Source organism: Homo sapiens, chromosome 7 (assembly GCF_000001405.40).
Source record: "Homo sapiens chromosome 7, GRCh38.p14 Primary Assembly".
NCBI lineage: Eukaryota > Metazoa > Chordata > Mammalia > Primates > Hominidae > Homo > Homo sapiens.
In genome coordinates this window covers 152,846,061-152,863,310 of record NC_000007.14, presented here as the reverse complement: position 1 = coordinate 152,863,310, position 17,250 = coordinate 152,846,061, and the positions used below count along the sequence as shown (strand labels likewise).

Here is a 17,250-nt window from a genome sequence, read left to right as displayed (position 1 = left end):
AGACCAGCCTGACCAACATGGTGAAACCCTGTCTCTACTAAAAATAAAAAATAAAAAATTAGCCGGGCATGGTGGCATGTGCCTGTAGTTCCAGCTACTCGGCAGCCTGAGGCAAAAGAATCTCTTGAACCCTGGAGGCAGAGGTTGCAGGGAACCGAGGTCACGCCACTGCACCAGCCTGGGTGACAGAGCGAGACTGTCTCACACAAGAGCAGCATTCCCATACAGCCTGTGCAGCCCACCTCACCTCTCCTCCTCCAGGTCTGCTCCATGACTCTAGAGAAAAGCTCCACCTCTCGGGCAAACCTTCTAGGTGTGTCTATGCAGCACATATCCAGGCACCCACTCTTCCGTTAAAAATCTTTTCATGGCCGGGCACAGTGGCTCACACCTGTAATCCCAGTACTTTGGAGGCCGGGGCGGGCGGATCACGAGGTCAGGAGATCAAGACCTTCCTGGCTAACACAGTGAAACCCCGTCTCTACTAAAAATACAAAAAATTAGCCGGGCGTGGTGGCCTGTAGACCCAGCTAGTCGGAGGGCTGAGGCAGGAGAATGGCGGGAACCCGGCAGGCAGAGCTTGCAGTGAGCTGAGATTGCGCCACTGCACTCCAGCCTGGGCGACAGAGCGAGACTCCGTCTCAAAAAAAAAAAAAATCTTTTCATGTGTCCCAGGACTTTGTTCTTAGGATAAGGACCAAAATGCATAGCCAGCCCCATGTGGACAACTTCACCTCTTTTCTTGAACATCCCGCACACTCGGCCTTCTTTCTTAAAAAGCCAGGCAGGCTTCCTTCTGCTCCAGGCATTTGTCTTAGTGACTCACTAGACGTTGCTGACATTTTGCTATATCTGACCTACAGAAACAGCCATTTTAAGCTGTTAGGCTGGTGCAAAAGTAATTGCGGGTTTTGCCATTAAATATAATTGCAAAAACCACAATGACTTTTCCATCAACCTAATAATATATGCCTCTTCCTGCACTGCTGCCCCTCCACCTCGTGGCCTGGCGGCCTCCAGTCCCCTGCAGCTCTCAGCTCCACCTCCCCTCGGCGCCTCCTTCGCACCCGTCGCTCATACCCCATTCCGGGCCTGCTGTGAGTTTCCTGGCACCCTGTACTTCCTCTCACGGGCCTTTGTGGTTTGTGATGATATAGCATGACTCTGGAACCCACGCACGTCCCTCTCTTCTGCTGGGATGGAAGCTCCACATCATCAGGACTGTGTCCTCCGACGAGCACTTGGTAAACAGGCGACCCAGAGCTGAGCAGGCGTTCGATAACTGACGGCTTTTCCTTCCGTGCATGGAAGGCCCCGGAACTGTGCCGTGGCCGCAGTTCCACATCCACACGTCCAGCCCCTCACATCAGCTTCCTCAGTCGCCCCTCACAGCTCATCTTTCTACCACATTCTCATTCTGAGTGGCTCAGAAATGTGGGATCCTGGGACCATGAACTCCACTACTGCTTGTTACCATCGTCTCACTGGGTGAAGGGAAGGAAAGAGACAGAGACGGAATGACTGACGTGAGCAAAAACGGAGGACCAGCCAATGGCAATGCCAGGGCCTGCACTCAAGATTCTGGGTGCCCCACTCTCTGCTCAAGCCCCCAAGCTCCTGCAATACAATTATAAAAATGGCATACAGCTCACTACGTCAAAAACACCTCATCATATGGTCACTATTGCCAGTCACAAATGAGAAGCAGAAAAAAGATGACTCAAGGCCAACGTACATCTGACCCCTAAATATTAGAAATACAGCCAATGTCCTACCATTTAAATTTTGCAGGCCAGGCATAGTGGCTCACACCTGTAATCCCAACACTTTGGGAGACTGTGGTGGGAGGATCACTTGAGGCCAGGAGTTTGAGGCCAACCTGGGCAACATAGCAAGACCCCATCTCTACAAAAAATAAATTAGCCGGGCATCGTGGTTTGGGCCTGTAGTCCCAGCTACTCCGAAGTCTGTGGCAGGAGAATCGCTTGGGCCCAGGAGATTGAGGCTACAATGAGCCATGATCACACCACCACACTCCAGCCTGGGCGACAGAGCAAGACCTCGTCTCAATAAACAAACAAATTTTGCTTGACATCATAAACCCTTAGGTTTATAATTATTTTTTTAATAATTTAAAGCTGTGTTCTTTCTTACTGATTAAAACATTTAAAAACTTGAAATTCCTAGCAACAATATGACATTAACAACTATATACATATATGATTATACACACATACACACGCACACAGAAAAAATAATCCACGGCAGTCAAAACTAAAAATGAAAAAATCAAAGCTGAGAAGTCAACCTGCAGAGAATGAGCCACGGCTTACTTTTAAGAAACCAATATAGGGTAAAAGGAGCTAATATTTTAAAACTAAAAAAAAAAAAAACTTTCACAGTGATACTAAGATCAAGCTATAGTTTCTTTTCCTCTTTTTAAAAAGATTTATTTCTGTCTGACCAAGTGAAATTGAAGTAATTGCCAATTAGAACCCCATGCAATTATTTTGCCAATCAAGTTATATTTCTATTTAACAAGGGTGACAGATACTTTTAAAAGAAACATTATGAAATATTATTCAATTAAGTAAAGAATTATTTAATAGATAAATATTCTTAATGGGCCTCTCTTGTGGTTTTCAATAAGCTTTGCACTTGATTAACCCCACAAGCCTGTCTGGCACAATCGTAATTTCTACAAATGAGATATAAAGGAGGGATCATAAAGAACGAATTAATCACCGAACGATCTGCACTTCAGTCACACGAGAGCTCATTATTCATATGAGTAAAGCTGTGGAATGAGCTACGACTGCCATAAAACACAGGCACATCTTCAAGGATTCTGCAGGGTGATTGCTCCACCGGCCTCTGGCTGGCGGCACAGCAGACGCAGGCAGGCGGCAGCCTTAGACAAGCTTGATCCTCTACTCTTCAGGTTCCCAAAACCCTCCTGAAGTCCATGCCCAAGAGTTAGATTTTATGATACCATTAAACTCTTAAGGTAACGATAGCTACATCCTGGGTGCTCACCGTCCTACAGTTATCCAGACACACAATGTGTCTCAGCACCAGAGCACACGCAGCCCAGGAAAACCAGTGATGCCTTCTTCTTGTCGGATAGGAGCTTAGTTAAGTGTCTACGGGGCACCTACCAGACCTTGTGAAGGCCTCGGGGGTTCCCAAGATAAGCACCATACGGCCCCCATGTTCCAGGACGTCAGTCCAGCGAGGGACACAGGTGTCATTGGTGCATTGGTAAAGGAGGGGCTGTCTTCTACACACAGAGGGGCAGCAGCAGAGGAGGGTGAACATCCCGGACAGGCAAGAGCACTCCAGGGAAGGGAACAAACACCTCCAGGGGGGCCACTCAGGGCACCTTCCACCATACTGCCCCCAAGTGGCAAGGCTATGGAACATGCACAGCCCAAAACAGAGACATCCTCATGTGGCTCAGATGGGATGACTTGGTCTGGAGCCTAGTGGGGAGACAGCTGCCATGCAGGCAACCCAGGGCTCCAAGTGGCTTCCTTTTCCTTAGATGGACGATAAAAGTGATTCAATCATATCAGCTACAGTGGTAAGAAAAGCCCCGTGAGTCTGCATTCTACAACTACATACTAGTATCTTTTTTCTAACCCTTTCTTAATGGAATTCCTAAAGGCAATACAGTTCATGAATCTAAAATTCCCTTTTCCTATGCTGAAAATTTTTTAAACACAATTTTGATAAGTAGAGCTCTTAAGACACAGCAACTGCTTTGTAACAGAATAATAATAATGGCTAGAATTTATTGAACACTTACTAGGGGCTAATTATGGTTCTAAGCACTCAGATTAACAACCATCTTGTATTTGCCTTGTAACATAAAGCCAGTGCACCTGATAAGACATGTATTAACAAAGCGCTGTGAACAAAAATGAAAATAATTTTACATCTAAACATCCCGCATCAGTAGCTTCCTGGAACACGTTACATACCAAGGGATCTGGATTCGAGGGGGATTTCCAGCTCCCCATGGCCATTTCCAAACTCTTTCTACTCTACTATCTGATGAAGTCATGCTGCAGATTCCTATCACTGGGTTTTACCACCCGGTCTCTCACCAGTTGCTATGACCTACTTCTACAAGACTGGAGAAAATAGATTCAATATGACTTCTCGGTGTCCTGGCTGTGTGGTTTTGGCATGTTGTTGAATTTCTTTCAGCCACAGGTTTCCTGTCTGGAAAATGGGAGTAGCAATACCAACTTCATAGGGTTCGGTTCAGGTGAAAGGAGGCTACACAGCATCACTCCCAACGTGGGGTGACTCTCGGCGCAGTGCCCAGCTCACGGTCAATGCTCAGCTCCTTGCCACCCCCGAGACTGAGGCACGACTTCAGGCAGCTGGACCAGTCTTACTTTCATCTCCACCCCCACAGCGTCCTGCGTGAGCCAGCACCCACCAGACAACCTATCCAATGCCCTTCTCTCAAAATTCCCTACATTCTTCCATTTCCAGTGAATTTAAACTCTACACAATCACCACTTCCATGACCCTGTTATCACTGAGAGGTGCTCCACCTCTGAAATCTTAATCAGTATCGTTCTTCAGGACCACAACCTCCTAACCTTGAAGCCCAGGGCCGCCAGTCCTCAGACGCCTCCATTCCTCCCAATCTCTCATCTCCCTCTGCTCCCACCCTACCTGGAGTCCGTGGTCCCTCATGTTAGCAGCAGAGAAACCCCGTCTACACCTGCCTGCCCCCAGGACACCTGCCCCACCCATCATCACATTTGCCTGGCAAAACCCAAACCCCAACCCCTAAGAAAGCCTCGCCTTCTTCCCTCCTCAATTTAGGCTACATGGAAATGGAAACTCAATCAGAGAGAGTCCCCCACCCACCTGCAGTTGGTCAACGCAAGCACCAGGTGCCTTCTGCGTTTACCCTTCCTCCCTCTGTAAGCGATGCGGTCACCTCCCCCGTCCTCAGCAGCCCTGATTGGCTCCTCTTCTACAGACCCCACTTCAGGAGTCTTTTCTCTCATTTTTTCCCCAACCCTCACCATATGCAGAAACAAACTCATAAGCTTCATGTTACTTAGTCTAATCTTGGCTTAAAAGTTCACGAAACAGAAGTTAAACCCTCAGGAACAGCTGATGAATATCCGCAAAGAAGTGAGAGGCTGTTTCCTCAGGTGTGTTGGAAAGAGCAACTCTGAGCCAGCGGTCATATCATCTTAGAAAGGTAATGTTTGTTAAATATTCACATACTAGTTGCCAGATTTTTTTTTTAAGTTAAGGCCGTTCGTATCATATTCTCACCATCGTAAAGCTGAGTTTATGTCTAAATCTGTTGAATAGGGCAAAGCAACTTCCTGCACTTTTTAAGAAGGTCTCACTCTGTTGCCCAGGCTGGAGTGTGTGGCATGACCCTGGCTCCTGCAGCCTTGAGCTCCCGGGCTCAATGGATTCTACCACCTCCACCTACCCAGTAGCTGAGACTACAGGTACTCACCACCACACCTGGCTCCTGCACTATTAAAAGGTTTAATAGTCCTAAAGACTGTAGACTTATAATTTTAGAATTTAACGAGTGTATTTGATGAAATATTTTTTACAGAAAACTGCTCACCTGGAGTTGTAGTTTTGTCATAGGAGGTCGATTTTACCCATCAACTCTAGGAATACTTAACTCATTTCTATATTATGATCTAACTCATTCAACCTGAACAAAAGGTATGTGCAGATTTTATCAAATTTACTAACTGTAAACATTTTTCTTCCTTATAAAATGACGGGTGCACATGACCATCACAGTTCATTTCTATCTATAGTATCTGCCAGGCTCACTGAATAAACAAAAAATGATAACTCACCTCTATTAACAGGAAAAGGACCATTACAATTCTCCCACAGATGAGCAAACAGAAAATAGGATCTCATTTGCTTGAGGAACAGCCAGAATTGGTATTCAGATCTTTTTGAGTCAAAAACCCTTCCTTCTGCTCATAAGCCTTTCAGATCCAGCTACGCTGGCATTGCCTAAGGAGTTTAAAAACAAAAAGCAAAAATTGGATGCCTTCCCTGGGGCTCCTATTCTGATTCTCTTAATTTGGGATGGGTCTTGCCCAGGGTTGAGAACCACAGCATCATACCTGTCACATTGTAATGGATCATTCTGTCCTGTCAATGTAGGTTTAAAACAAAATGTTCTCGGCCTGGCACGGTGGCTCACGCCTGTAATCCCAGCACTTTGGTAGGCCAAGGCGGGCAGATCACCCGAGGTGGGGAGTTTGAGACCAGCCTGACCAACATGGAGAAACTTCATCTCTACTAAAAATACAAAATTAGCCGGGCATGGTGGTGCACGCCTGTAATCCCAGCTACTTAGGAGGCTGAGGCAGGAGAATCGCTTGAACCCGGGAGGCAGAGGTTGTGGTGAGCCAAGATTGCGCCATTGCACTCCAGCCTGGGGGACAAGAGCAAAACTCCATCTTAAAAAAAAAATTTAAAAAAAAAATATATATATATATATTCTCCCACAGTTCTTTAAGTTGACAAACAGAAGTACAATCTCAAAGCTAATCTTGTACCAAAGAAGGCACAGGGAAGCTTTGGGTATCCTGTGGTGGAAGGACAGCTCATACAGCTCTAGCTTAGCCAGGCTGCCACAGCACTGACATACAGAGTGGTGTTATTCCCAGGGTTTGGAGAAGGCGCAACAAAGCACCTGCCAACGCACAGATGCAGAGCAGAGGTGGGAATGACGGTGCCCACTGTGAGATGTGCAAAGCATGCTGAATCGGGCGGGGCAGGGTGGAGATGGGAGTATCAGGTAGGTCCCTGAATAGCACAGAACTAAGAGGAAAATGGCGTTAGAAGGAACGGCTCTCGCTGCCACGTTCAGGGTGCAAAGGTGTGACTGAAGGCAGGCAGACCAACCGGGAACTTGATGCAATAAAATGGCTGGAAGATCATGAGAAGCCAACGGTACAGCAATCCCGAGAAGCAGCAAATCCCCCAAGGGAATGCAGAGAAACACTACGGATGAGGGGAGAACCAGGTGGTACCAGACTCTTGACTGGGGAGACTGAGGGCCTAGCACAGTGACAGTATCAGAGATTCGGTCAACTGAGGTTGGTAAACTCAGATTTCACCATACTGAGTTCAATATTAAACTTATTTCTAAACTCAAATAATAACATAACTTTTTTTTTCTTGTTTTTGTTTTATTTAAGACATGGAGTCTCACTCTGTCACCCAGGCTGCAATACAGTGGCTCAATCCTAGCTTACTGCAGCCTTGACCTCCTGGACTCAAGTGATCCTCCTGCCTCAGCCTTCTGAGGAGCTGGGACTTCAGGCGCACACCACTGCACCTGGCTACGTTTCTTTATGAAGGCAAATTTTCTGAGAACAAAACATATTTCATTCACCTCCTTTGAGAGTGAAACTAAGGAAAAAATTTTAAAACAGAACAAAAAAAAAACATACTTCACAACTTAGAAGAAATACCATAAATAACAATTTTTAAAGTAACATAATTATAAGAATAATATGAAGAGTGAAATCAACCTAAATCTATTAATTGAGCAAATTACCTTTCAAGCTAGCAGTCCATTCAGCAAACATCAGAGTAGTTACTGAAAGCTTACAGTCATGAATCCTGAACTTCTAGGAAGGAACATCAGAAATCATTAGGCACTCCTTCCCACTATACCCCAGATTCAAAAACCATCTCTGACGGGTTATCCAGACCCACGATACCCCCAGCGATGGAGTGGTCACTGCGGGGCAGGCAGCCCACACCATTCGCGAAAAGACATTTCCTCCCACAAGCTGAGTATTAATCAAATTCTCCAATGATGTAAAACAATGTCAATATTCTTTAAAGGAGGCACAGCGACAGGGAGAAAACCAACAGACCACCACACTACAGCAGAAAGATATTTACAAATATTCTAACAGCTTTTATTACAATGGTGCAAGGAAGTATTTCATCCAACACTCACCGACAACAAACCATCATCTTCTATAAAACAGCTCCAGAAAGTTCAAACAAAAAAAACTAAAAGATACATGTATCTGTAGTAATTCTCATACATTACTGTTTAGTGTTCAAACTTCATGTCACTCCAATAAAGTATAATCATTTTCTAGCAAACATGTGGCAAAAAAGTTTGCTGTTTTATTTGTTTGCCTATAAACATATCAGAACATGCCTCACAATTAAAAACTTTGGATTACAGCACTCCATAACATCAATATCTATTCGTGCTTAGTATCAGCCAGTTGTACCAAATACCATAAAATACAAAATGATAGGAAATATAAACATCGATTTGTATTTCAAGTTTAAACATTTTATTTACAAAAATAGGCTGGGAGGAAAAGGGTTTGCGCCCCCACATTCTCTCCTGGGACCTAACGATTTTGCGCCATTTTCTAATGTTGTTTTCTCTAACAATTTTCAAAGTCACATTTGGATTCCTTCAGAATTGTATTTGTCAGCTAGCAGCTCGGAGGAGGAGGAGGAGGGAGAGCGAGGGTGAGGAGGGCGGGAGAAGGAGGAGGCTGGCAGACAGCGGTCGGCACACGGATAAATGGCTTTTACTGAAGGGCCCGCGCCGCGCCTCATGCACCGGCAATGCAAGCACGCTGCTGGGCAGCAACACCGACGTCGCTATTTACAGAACGGCGGCCTTCTCTGGGTTCTGAAGGACACTTGTTCCCCAACGTGACACCATCGAACGACGCGTTCAGGCAGACACTAGGACATGACTCCAAAGACGGGGTTGTGGCGGCAGATGCTGGGCCCGTACTCTTCATAGTCCTTCTTGGTGTGGCAGACCTGAAAGAACTCGGGCTACGAGAGGCAACAGGCAGACAGAAAGACACTCATTTCAGAAGAAAGTCAAGGGAACCAGCTACCAAGCAGGCAAGACACTCTCCTCATCCCGGCCTCCACCCTCCCTCCCAGGACCGCTGCTGCAAGATTTTACCTCTCTGATGTACTAAACTACTAAATGGGGAGTTATTTCACTTTTTAGAAATTTCATCAGCCTGTATCTTCTTAGGACCAACCAAATGCCGGTCCCCCACTAACAATGTGTGAGCTATTCACAAATGTGAGGGGGAAAAGTAATAATTATTTGGAAAAGTCACTGGAATTAATGATTAATGCAGGACTTTTTTAGATTATTTTTGGATGCCACTTACCATGTTTTCTGTAACCCCTAATTAGCAAGGACACGTGATAAATGTGTTGTGTGATTATTAAGATATAGTTTATATCGGGCCGGGCACAGAGGCTCACACCTGTAATTGCAGCACTTTGCGAGGCCAAGGCAGGGGGGTGGATCACCTGAGGTCAGGAGTTTGAGACCAGCCTGGCCAACACAGCAAAACCCCATCTTTACTAAAAATACAACAAAAAAAAATGAGCCGGGCATGGTGGTGAACGCCTGTAGTCCCAGCTACTCAGGAGGCTGAGGCTGGAGAATTGCTTAAACCCGGGAGGCGGAGGTTGCAGTGAGCTGAGATCGCACCATTAAACTCCAGCCTGGGCGACAGAGTGAGACTCCATCTCGAAAAAACAAAAAAGATATAATTTATATCTTACAGAATGGTCTGTTTAGAGCCACACGATTAGGGCACACACTATTTCACCTTCGTAGACAGTATTTACCCAAACTCAACCGAGAGCACAGGAATGGAGACACAGAGCCCTCGAGAGAGGGACTTACAGTCGAGGCCAGCATGGAGCCTCCGAACCACACGGCGTAGCGCTGCATGTGATGCGTGACCACCTGGACCTCCACAGGCTTCGGCTGGAAGAGAAAGCAGCTCTCACTTACCCCACACCCACAGACACATGTGATCTAATCATCCCCCGGCTGACGAGACCACAGCTGCACCCAGGGCCGCCCTCCTCTTATGGCACGAGCACCACCTCACACCCAGCACTCAGTGACTCTCCGCCCCTGCTGCCAAATCCCCCTAAGACCTACCAGAATCCCAGCCCCCAGCGCTCAAAGGAACACAGTGCACCCGGCAAGCAGCACCTCCCTCTCACAAGGCTCAAAGCGCTAAAGTTCAAAAGCACAAAATCCAAGCAATTAACCCCACTGCTTTTTTTTTTTTAACCTAACATATCAGATGTTCTGGCACTGTAGAGATCATCCCAAATAAGATTAACCATCCTCAAAATAATAAAAGAAACTGTGCTTTTCTGGCCGGGCGTGGTAGCTCGCACCTGTAATCCCAGCACTTTGGGAGGCCGAGGCGCATGGATCACAAGGTCAGGAGATCGAGACCATCCTGGCTAACACGGTGAAACCCCATCTCTACTAAAAATACAAAAAATTAGCCGGGCTTGGTGGCGGGCACCTGTAGTCCCAGCTACTCAATAGGCTGAGGCAGGAGAATGGTGTGAACCCAGGAGGCAGAGCTTGCTATGAGCCGAGATCTCACCACTGCACTCCAGCCTGGGCGACAGAGAGAGACTCTGTCTCAAGAAAAAAGAAAAAAAAGAAAAGAAACTGTGCTCTTCCAACAGTGGACTCGTGGGATCTCTTCCTTGCGCCCACTGCCCCTATCGAAGCCCACTCTTGGTTAGAAGCCCACAGTGATCACCAGCTACTTAAGAATTACTATCTTGGAGGAACGCCTTGTAACTCCCTGCTAACATTAGTTATTTTCATTTAATGAGAACATTTCCGAAGGACATGAAAGATCCTCACCATAAATTAGTCCCATCTCCTTGGGACACTGGTCATTATACCCCATGCCTGATCTCTTACGACACAAAAGGAAACTGCTGGCAGGCATGGCCAGGGAGAGTGTGAAGCTGCCGTTGCTGTGTCACCAGGACCATCAGTCTGAACTACCAGCCTGGAAGGACCTCAGGCAGCAAACCTCCATGGTCATGTCACAATGCAGCTCAGAAAGCGATGAACACTTGTTTTTATTTTACGCGGCCCAGACAAGCTCCTTCGGCTCTGTGTCAGGAGGGCCCCGGTCAGGCCTGGGGCAATAGCCCCAGGCACTGCGTGGAGGCCTCTGGCTCCTACCTTGATCCTCCCGCCGCTGAGCTCCTCGCTGAGCCTCAGCCTAGCATCCACCACTCTCTTCAAATCCCTCTGCAGTCGGCGTCCGAAATCCCTGAACATGGTGGAGCCTCCTGAGAGTACGACATTCTACAAGACACAAAGCAGAGGGAGCCCTGGGTAAAACCGCCCGCCCACAGTTCCGGGAACCACCCACAACAGAACTCCCACAGGTCCAATCGCTTGTGGGCACGACACATCGGCCCTATGAAAGATGCGAACAAAAGCAAACTTAATGCTATTGGAAAAGTGTAGATTTTTTTTTTATGGAGACAACAATGTGCCACAGATGGCTCCTTAATCCTTTCCTCAATTACAGCAAAGCAAAAACAAGGCGATCCTGCTCCCTCATGCTCCCCCTGCCAACCCCTCACATAGACCAGGAAGCCAAAACAAACAACAGAAACTGTCCAGCTGACTTGAGCCAAAATAACACCAGCTCTCCCCTGGTCCGCCTTAACCATCACTGGGGGAAAGTCTTCTAATGGGTGCTTGAAGCTTCTCAGAAGGACAATCTTGGGAAGAAAGCATCCAAGTTACCGGAAGGAACATTCTCAGATGAGCCACCCAGCCAGCACTGCCCTCCAGGGCCAAGACTCGCTCGGTGGCCACCCCAGAAGCTCGGTGGGGGGCTGAGGAAGGGGAAGCACTCGCCTGTCCCGCTCCGCCTGCCCAGAACCCGAACCAGCCCTCTGTCCAGCATCTCCGCGTTGTCAACCCTGCCCACCTGTCAGTCATCCATACCGTCAGCTCCTGACCTGCAGCCACTGACATCCTCATGGTTTGACGGCCCAGGTCACCCGAGCAGCTGGTCCTCTTCTGATGTATGTCAGAGGCCACAGTGGCCTCACCTACGTCACTCACCTCTCGCCCTCTCACCATGGGGCACTGCATCATCTCACACCCTCACAAGATGAGGAAGGGTGAGTATGGTACAGAAAGGTATTTTTAGACAGACAGAGAGAGACCACATTTATATAACTTTTCCTACAGTATATTGTTACAATAATTATTCTACTTTAGTAGTTACTGCTGTTCAGAAGTCTCTTACTGTGCCTAATTTCTAAATTAAACTTTATCATAGGTATGTATGTACAAGAAAAAACACAGTATATATAGGATTCGGTACTATTTGCAGTTTCAGGCACCCACTGGAGGTCTTGAATCATATCCTCACTGACAAGGGGGACTAGTGTATCTCCTGATTGAACTTTCTTAGAGAAAACACCTTATGTGAAAACTACATAAGGAAATTAATCCTTCAAGGAGTCAAAAAGCCCTATTTCCTTTAAGACCCTCTAAATATGTTAGCTCTTCCCGAGTTCCTGAGCAACTACAGAGCTCTCTGCTTTCAGGCACTCCTCCCAGTCAGCTCTGAGTGTGTGAACAGTGAGTCCCTCAACAAGTTTACAGGTAAGCAGAAGTCACAGGGAATCAGCACGGAAAAAAAAATGCACTTTTCTGTCCCTAGCAACCCAGGTTCTAAGTTATATGATATGAGAGTAGTCTGTTCCTGCTTACTGCTGTTCTGGGGAAAGACAGCCAGGACTGACTACAAAGGGATCATTTTTCTCTCATGCCAGCTCCTAGAACTGCTGTGACAGCACCCACGTGGACTCAGGATTAGAGATGGTGAAGTCAGAGCAGGAAGAATGAAACGGGGCAGAAGCCACAGGAAGCCACCAGTGATCCGGCCTTCCATTTGGGGAAGCCACAGTGATCTGGCCTTCTACCTGGAGAAGTGACCAGTGATCTGGCCTTCTACCTGGAGAAGCCACCAGTGATCTGGCCTCCTACCTGGAGAAGCCACCAGTGATCTGAACTTCTACCTGGAGAAGCCACCAGTGATCTGGCCTTCCACCTGGAGAAGCTGGCCTTCCACCTGGAGAAGTGACCAGTGATCTGGCCTTCTACCTGGAGAAGCCACCAGTGATCTGAACTTCTACCTGGAGAAGCCACCAGTGATCTGAACTTCTATCTGGAGAAGCCACCAGTGATCTGAACTTCTACCTGGAGAAGCCACCAGTGATCTGGTCTTCCACCTGGAGAAGCTGGCCTTCCACCTGGAGAAGTGACCAGAGATCTGGCCTTCTACCTGGAGAAGTGACCAGTGATCTGACCTTCTACCTGGAGAAGCCACCAGTGATCTGACCTTCTACCTGGAGAAGCTGGCCTTCCACCTGGAGAAGCGACCAGTGATCTGGCCTTCCACCTGAAGAAGCTGGCCTTCCACCTGGAGAAGTGACCAGTGATCTGGCCTTCCACCTGGGAGTGCCACCAGTGACCTGGTCTTCCACCTGGAGAAGCCACCAGGGATCTGGCCTTTCACCTGGAGAAGCCACCAGTGACCTCGTCTTCCACCTGGGATCTGCTCCAATTCTACCGAGTGTCTGTATAGAGAAATTTCACCTCTGATTACCTGCCAGCAGCAGATGTTAGATAAATCATGTAACATGCTGTAGCTGCTCCAGTTGCTAAGGTGAAAGACTGTCAGGGGCTAAAGAAGCCATGTCCAACCCTTTCACTGCAACAAGTGTTTTGCTTATCCACAGTGGTGAATACCAAAAACATTATGCACAGGACCTTTTTATTAGCTTGTCAACTGTCATTAGTGCTAGTGTATTTTATGTGTGGCCCAAGAGTTTCTGGCCCAGGGACACCAAAAGGTTGGACACCCCTGGGCTAAACCTTCTACAGTGGCTTGGCCAGGGACAGAGCCTCACAAAACTGTGCCACAATATTTTGTTATCAGCTTCAAGGTCAAGGCTAATATATTGTTAAGGGAGGATCTGGGCTTGGCCTTCAGGGCTGGGAACCAGGGCGGTTCTGAGGCCACCCTTCAGGGCTCTCTGCAGCAGTGAAGCGATCCTCCGGAACCCCCACCCCACCCCGTTCCTTGGTGTCGGCCCCACACTTCTACTCACAGGGAACAGCCCTGAGCATAGCAGACCCCCTAAAGGGTACCCATGCCTTACGGGGACTATCTGATCATGAACACACTGAATAAAATACCTGGCAATGGTCTTCTGCCCTGAGAACTCTGCAGTCTGTCCTCATCTGGGGGTTTCACTGCTATGTACTTGTTTGCTTTCTCAAAACTCTGTCGGCGTGGCCAACCAAGGAAACCGCTGTCACGTCCATTTCTCGAGAGGCAGCCCCCTGACGCCCCTCGCCACAGGGAGACCATGAGGTCACTGGGCACCTGCCTTCTTGACCCATTTTAAGTCTAGTTTTCAAGCCAACATCCTGCCCCAGGATCAGCATCATGAATAATCACTGTTGTCCTCTGTGACCCTGTGGAGAAATCTCTCATGACCAACCTGAGAGCGCCTGGCTCCTGTCAGAGTCTAGGGACCATCAACCACAGCTGCAGCTACGGGGGGGTGGCAGCTGGAAATCACGTAAACAGGGTTATATTCTGATCCCTGGCTTCCTTCAGATGGGTCTTGTGGCCTGGTGACTCTTTCAGACACACTGCATACCTAGTTACCATAATATCAAGAATCATAACTTAAAAGCATGTTGGTATTTTGATCATCTCATCTTAGAATAAGCCTCAACTGACCCCTGGTCCTGCTCTCTCATGATTGGCCACGCTGGCCGATGATATTCTGGAGAGACAGACCCTGGCTTATATCCAATTAAGAATTAAGTGAGGACTGGGGAAGAACAAGGATGGGTCAGTGCTTGGAATTAGACATTTCTAAGGGCGCTTTTGCTGAGGTTTTGGGGTTTGTTTTTTTGTTCTTTTGCTATTGTTTTTCATTTGCTTTTTTAAAGCCCACCACAGACAACTCCTTTAAAACTTTTCCAGGCTAAGATTCCTCCAGCCTCGCTCTCTGGCAGGGAATGCTGCAGCCTTGGTCTCCTAACAGCCCATATGTCAGGGGATCCCAAACAGTGCCCCAAGGAAGCCTGGGGTGTCTGAGAGCTGTCCCTTGGCCCACCGCAGTGTAGGAGAGGGGCCACAGGGCCAGGTTCCCTGACTGTCACCCCAGACTTGGTGAGCTCATCCTTCCCAAGACGACTGTCGAAGACGCGGGTCTGCTTCTTACTGTAACACCCAATGGCCAACACAGCACCGTGGGCACACCTGCTGCCTCATCTCCACGTTCTGAGCTATTGTTATTCTGAAGGATAATCTGAGAGGTACATAGTCCATTCACACCTCTAAGTCTCCTAAATTCTATCACTGGATCCAAAAGTCCCAGGGGAGTGCTCCCTGTCTGCTCAGCATTCCTTCAGTATTCACTCACAAGACTGTTCACCCTCTGAACTTGCACCGCGAGCCATTAGAAGACACGGCGGGAAGAAACGCGCATCATTATCCACTGTAGGGATGGGTGAAGGAGGTATTCCTAGTGAGGGTCTAAAGAAGAAATTTCTCTCAGGTCTCAGTGTCAGAAAAAGCTGGGCCTCTTCGGAAAACCCACTGGCCTTAATCATATGTCCCAGGGGCCCTGTGTCTGCTGAGCAGCTCAGAGCCACGAGGGGCCTCTCCCACAGCTAGGTGCGACCACAGAACTGTGTGCACGGGCTCTGTCCTCATCTGACCCTGCTGCGCTCTTCTGCCGCCCTGACTTCTCCTCACCCAGATTCCTTCAGCTACTTCATCCGTGTATATTGGATATACTTTCCTGCCTGTTTCAAATTTTCCACACTAAAAGGCAAGCAGGCAGGAGGGGGCAGGGGTGTGGGTTTCTAAGGACAGACAAATAGGAGAGCTGAAGCCCAGCTGCCTGATCTTCAGGCAAAATACAGTTAATTGTTCAACGAGTTTATGAAAGGATGCTGGGTTCTCATTTTGAATTCCTTTCTTCCTTCAGTAATTGAAGGACAAACTTCAACAGCCTAAACATCCCTGTGATGGGCAGCAAACATCCCACTGCATTCAGCAGGCAGTTGCTGTGTTAAAGACACTGAGCTACAGACGCGAAGAAAACATCACGGTGAGCCCTGCGGAGCGGACTGCAGCCCCGGGCACTAGAGCTCACTGCAGACTACAGCCCGGACACTGGGGCTCACTACAGACTACAGCCCGGGCACTAGAGCTCACTACAGACTGCAGCCCCGGGCACTAGAGCTCACTACAGACTACAGCCCGGACACTGGGGCTCACTGCAGACTACAGCCCGGACACTGGGGCTCACTGCAGACTACAGCCCGGGCACTAGAGCTCACTGCAGACTACAGCCCGGGCACTAGAGCTCACTGCAGACTGCAGCCCGGACACTGGGGCTCACTGCAGACTACAGCCCAGGCACTAGAGCTCACTACAGACTACAGCCCGGGCACTAGAGCTCACTGCAGACTACAGCCCGGGCGCTGGGGCTCACTACAGACTGCAGCCCAGGCACTAGAGCTCACTGCAGACTACAGCCCAGACACTGGGGCTCACTGCAGACTACAGCCCAGGCACTAGAGCTCACTACAGACTACAGCCCCGGGCACTAGAGCTCACTGCAGACTACAGCCCCGGGCGCTAGAACTCACTGCAGACTACAGCCCGGGTGCTGGGGCTCACTGCAGACTACAGCCCGGGCACTAGAGCTCACTACAGACTGCAGCCCGGGCGCTGGGGCTCACTACAGACTGCAGCCCGGGCGCTGGGGCTCACTGCAGACTACAGCCCAGGCACTAGAGCTCACTACAGACTGCAGCCCGGGCGCTGGGGCTCACTACACACTACAGCCCGGCACTAGAGCTCACTACAGACTACAGCCCGGGCACTAGGGCTCACTACAGACTACAGCCCGGGCACTAGAGCTCACTACACACTACAGCCCGGACACTAGAGCTCACTGCAGACTACAGCCCCGGGCACTAGGGCTCACTACAGACTACAGCCCGGGCACTAGAGCTCACTGCAGACTACAGCCCGGGCACTAGAGCTCACTGCAGACTGCAGCCCAGGCACTAGAGCTCACTACAGACTGCAGCCCGGGCGCTGGGGCTCACTACAGACTACAGCCCGGGCACTAGAGCTCACTGCAGACTACAGCCCCGGGCGCTGGGGCTCACTACAGACTACAGCCCGGGCACTAGAGCTCACTGCAGACTACAGCCCGGGCACTAGAGCTCACTGCAGACTGCAGCCCAGGCGCTGGGGCTCACTGGGATGCTTGAAGATGTCTCAACCTCCCCAACCTAGAGAT

The 17,250-nt window shown here is 48.8% G+C and overlaps 1 protein-coding gene across 15 annotated transcripts in view, besides 5 other annotated features; it reads right to left on the bottom strand.

The window, feature by feature from the left end:
• Positions 1–7,932: 7,932 nt before the first annotated feature.
• ACTR3B (actin related protein 3B) overlaps positions 7,933–17,250 on the bottom strand; it is a 95,627-nt gene continuing 86,309 nt past the window's right edge. For 12 of the 15 annotated variants that reach the window (NR_146947.2, NR_146951.2, NR_146950.2 and 9 more), the window contains 3 exons: positions 11,060–11,185; positions 9,734–9,817; positions 7,933–8,853 (listed from right to left, as the gene is read on the bottom strand). Coding sequence is in view for 9 of the 15 variants with exons in the window: in NM_001350942.2 (NP_001337871.1) it covers positions 8,758–8,853; positions 9,734–9,817; positions 11,060–11,185 (306 nt within the window). In the remaining 6 variants the exon portion in view is untranslated. The remainder of the gene's footprint in view (positions 8,854–9,733; positions 9,818–11,059; positions 11,186–17,250) is intronic. The other 3 variants (NM_001040135.3, NM_001350946.2, NM_001350944.2) reach the window with 2 other exon arrangements.
• Positions 11,452–12,317: an enhancer, noted in NCBI's record as "H3K4me1 hESC enhancer chr7:152548079-152548944 (GRCh37/hg19 assembly coordinates)". NCBI's record gives its function as "activates a minimal SCP1, AML or CMV promoter by ChIP-STARR-seq in naive H9 embryonic stem cells {active_cell/tissue: H9 hESC(naive)}" and the evidence as "EXISTENCE:reporter gene assay evidence [ECO:0000049][PMID:30033119]".
• Positions 11,452–13,002: a biological region, named in NCBI's record as "BRD4-independent group 4 enhancer GRCh37_chr7:152547394-152548593".
• Positions 11,803–13,002: an enhancer, noted in NCBI's record as "BRD4-independent group 4 enhancer chr7:152547394-152548593 (GRCh37/hg19 assembly coordinates)". NCBI's record gives its function as "activates an origin of replication core promoter dependent on BRD2, P300/CBP, MED14 and CDK7 cofactors, and independent of BRD4, by STARR-seq in HCT116 cells {active_cell/tissue: HCT116}" and the evidence as "EXISTENCE:reporter gene assay evidence [ECO:0000049][PMID:35650434]".
• Positions 16,016–16,603: an enhancer, noted in NCBI's record as "H3K4me1 hESC enhancer chr7:152543793-152544380 (GRCh37/hg19 assembly coordinates)". NCBI's record gives its function as "activates a minimal SCP1, AML or CMV promoter by ChIP-STARR-seq in primed H9 embryonic stem cells {active_cell/tissue: H9 hESC(primed)}" and the evidence as "EXISTENCE:reporter gene assay evidence [ECO:0000049][PMID:30033119]".
• Positions 16,604–17,191: an enhancer, noted in NCBI's record as "H3K4me1 hESC enhancer chr7:152543205-152543792 (GRCh37/hg19 assembly coordinates)". NCBI's record gives its function as "activates a minimal SCP1, AML or CMV promoter by ChIP-STARR-seq in primed H9 embryonic stem cells {active_cell/tissue: H9 hESC(primed)}" and the evidence as "EXISTENCE:reporter gene assay evidence [ECO:0000049][PMID:30033119]".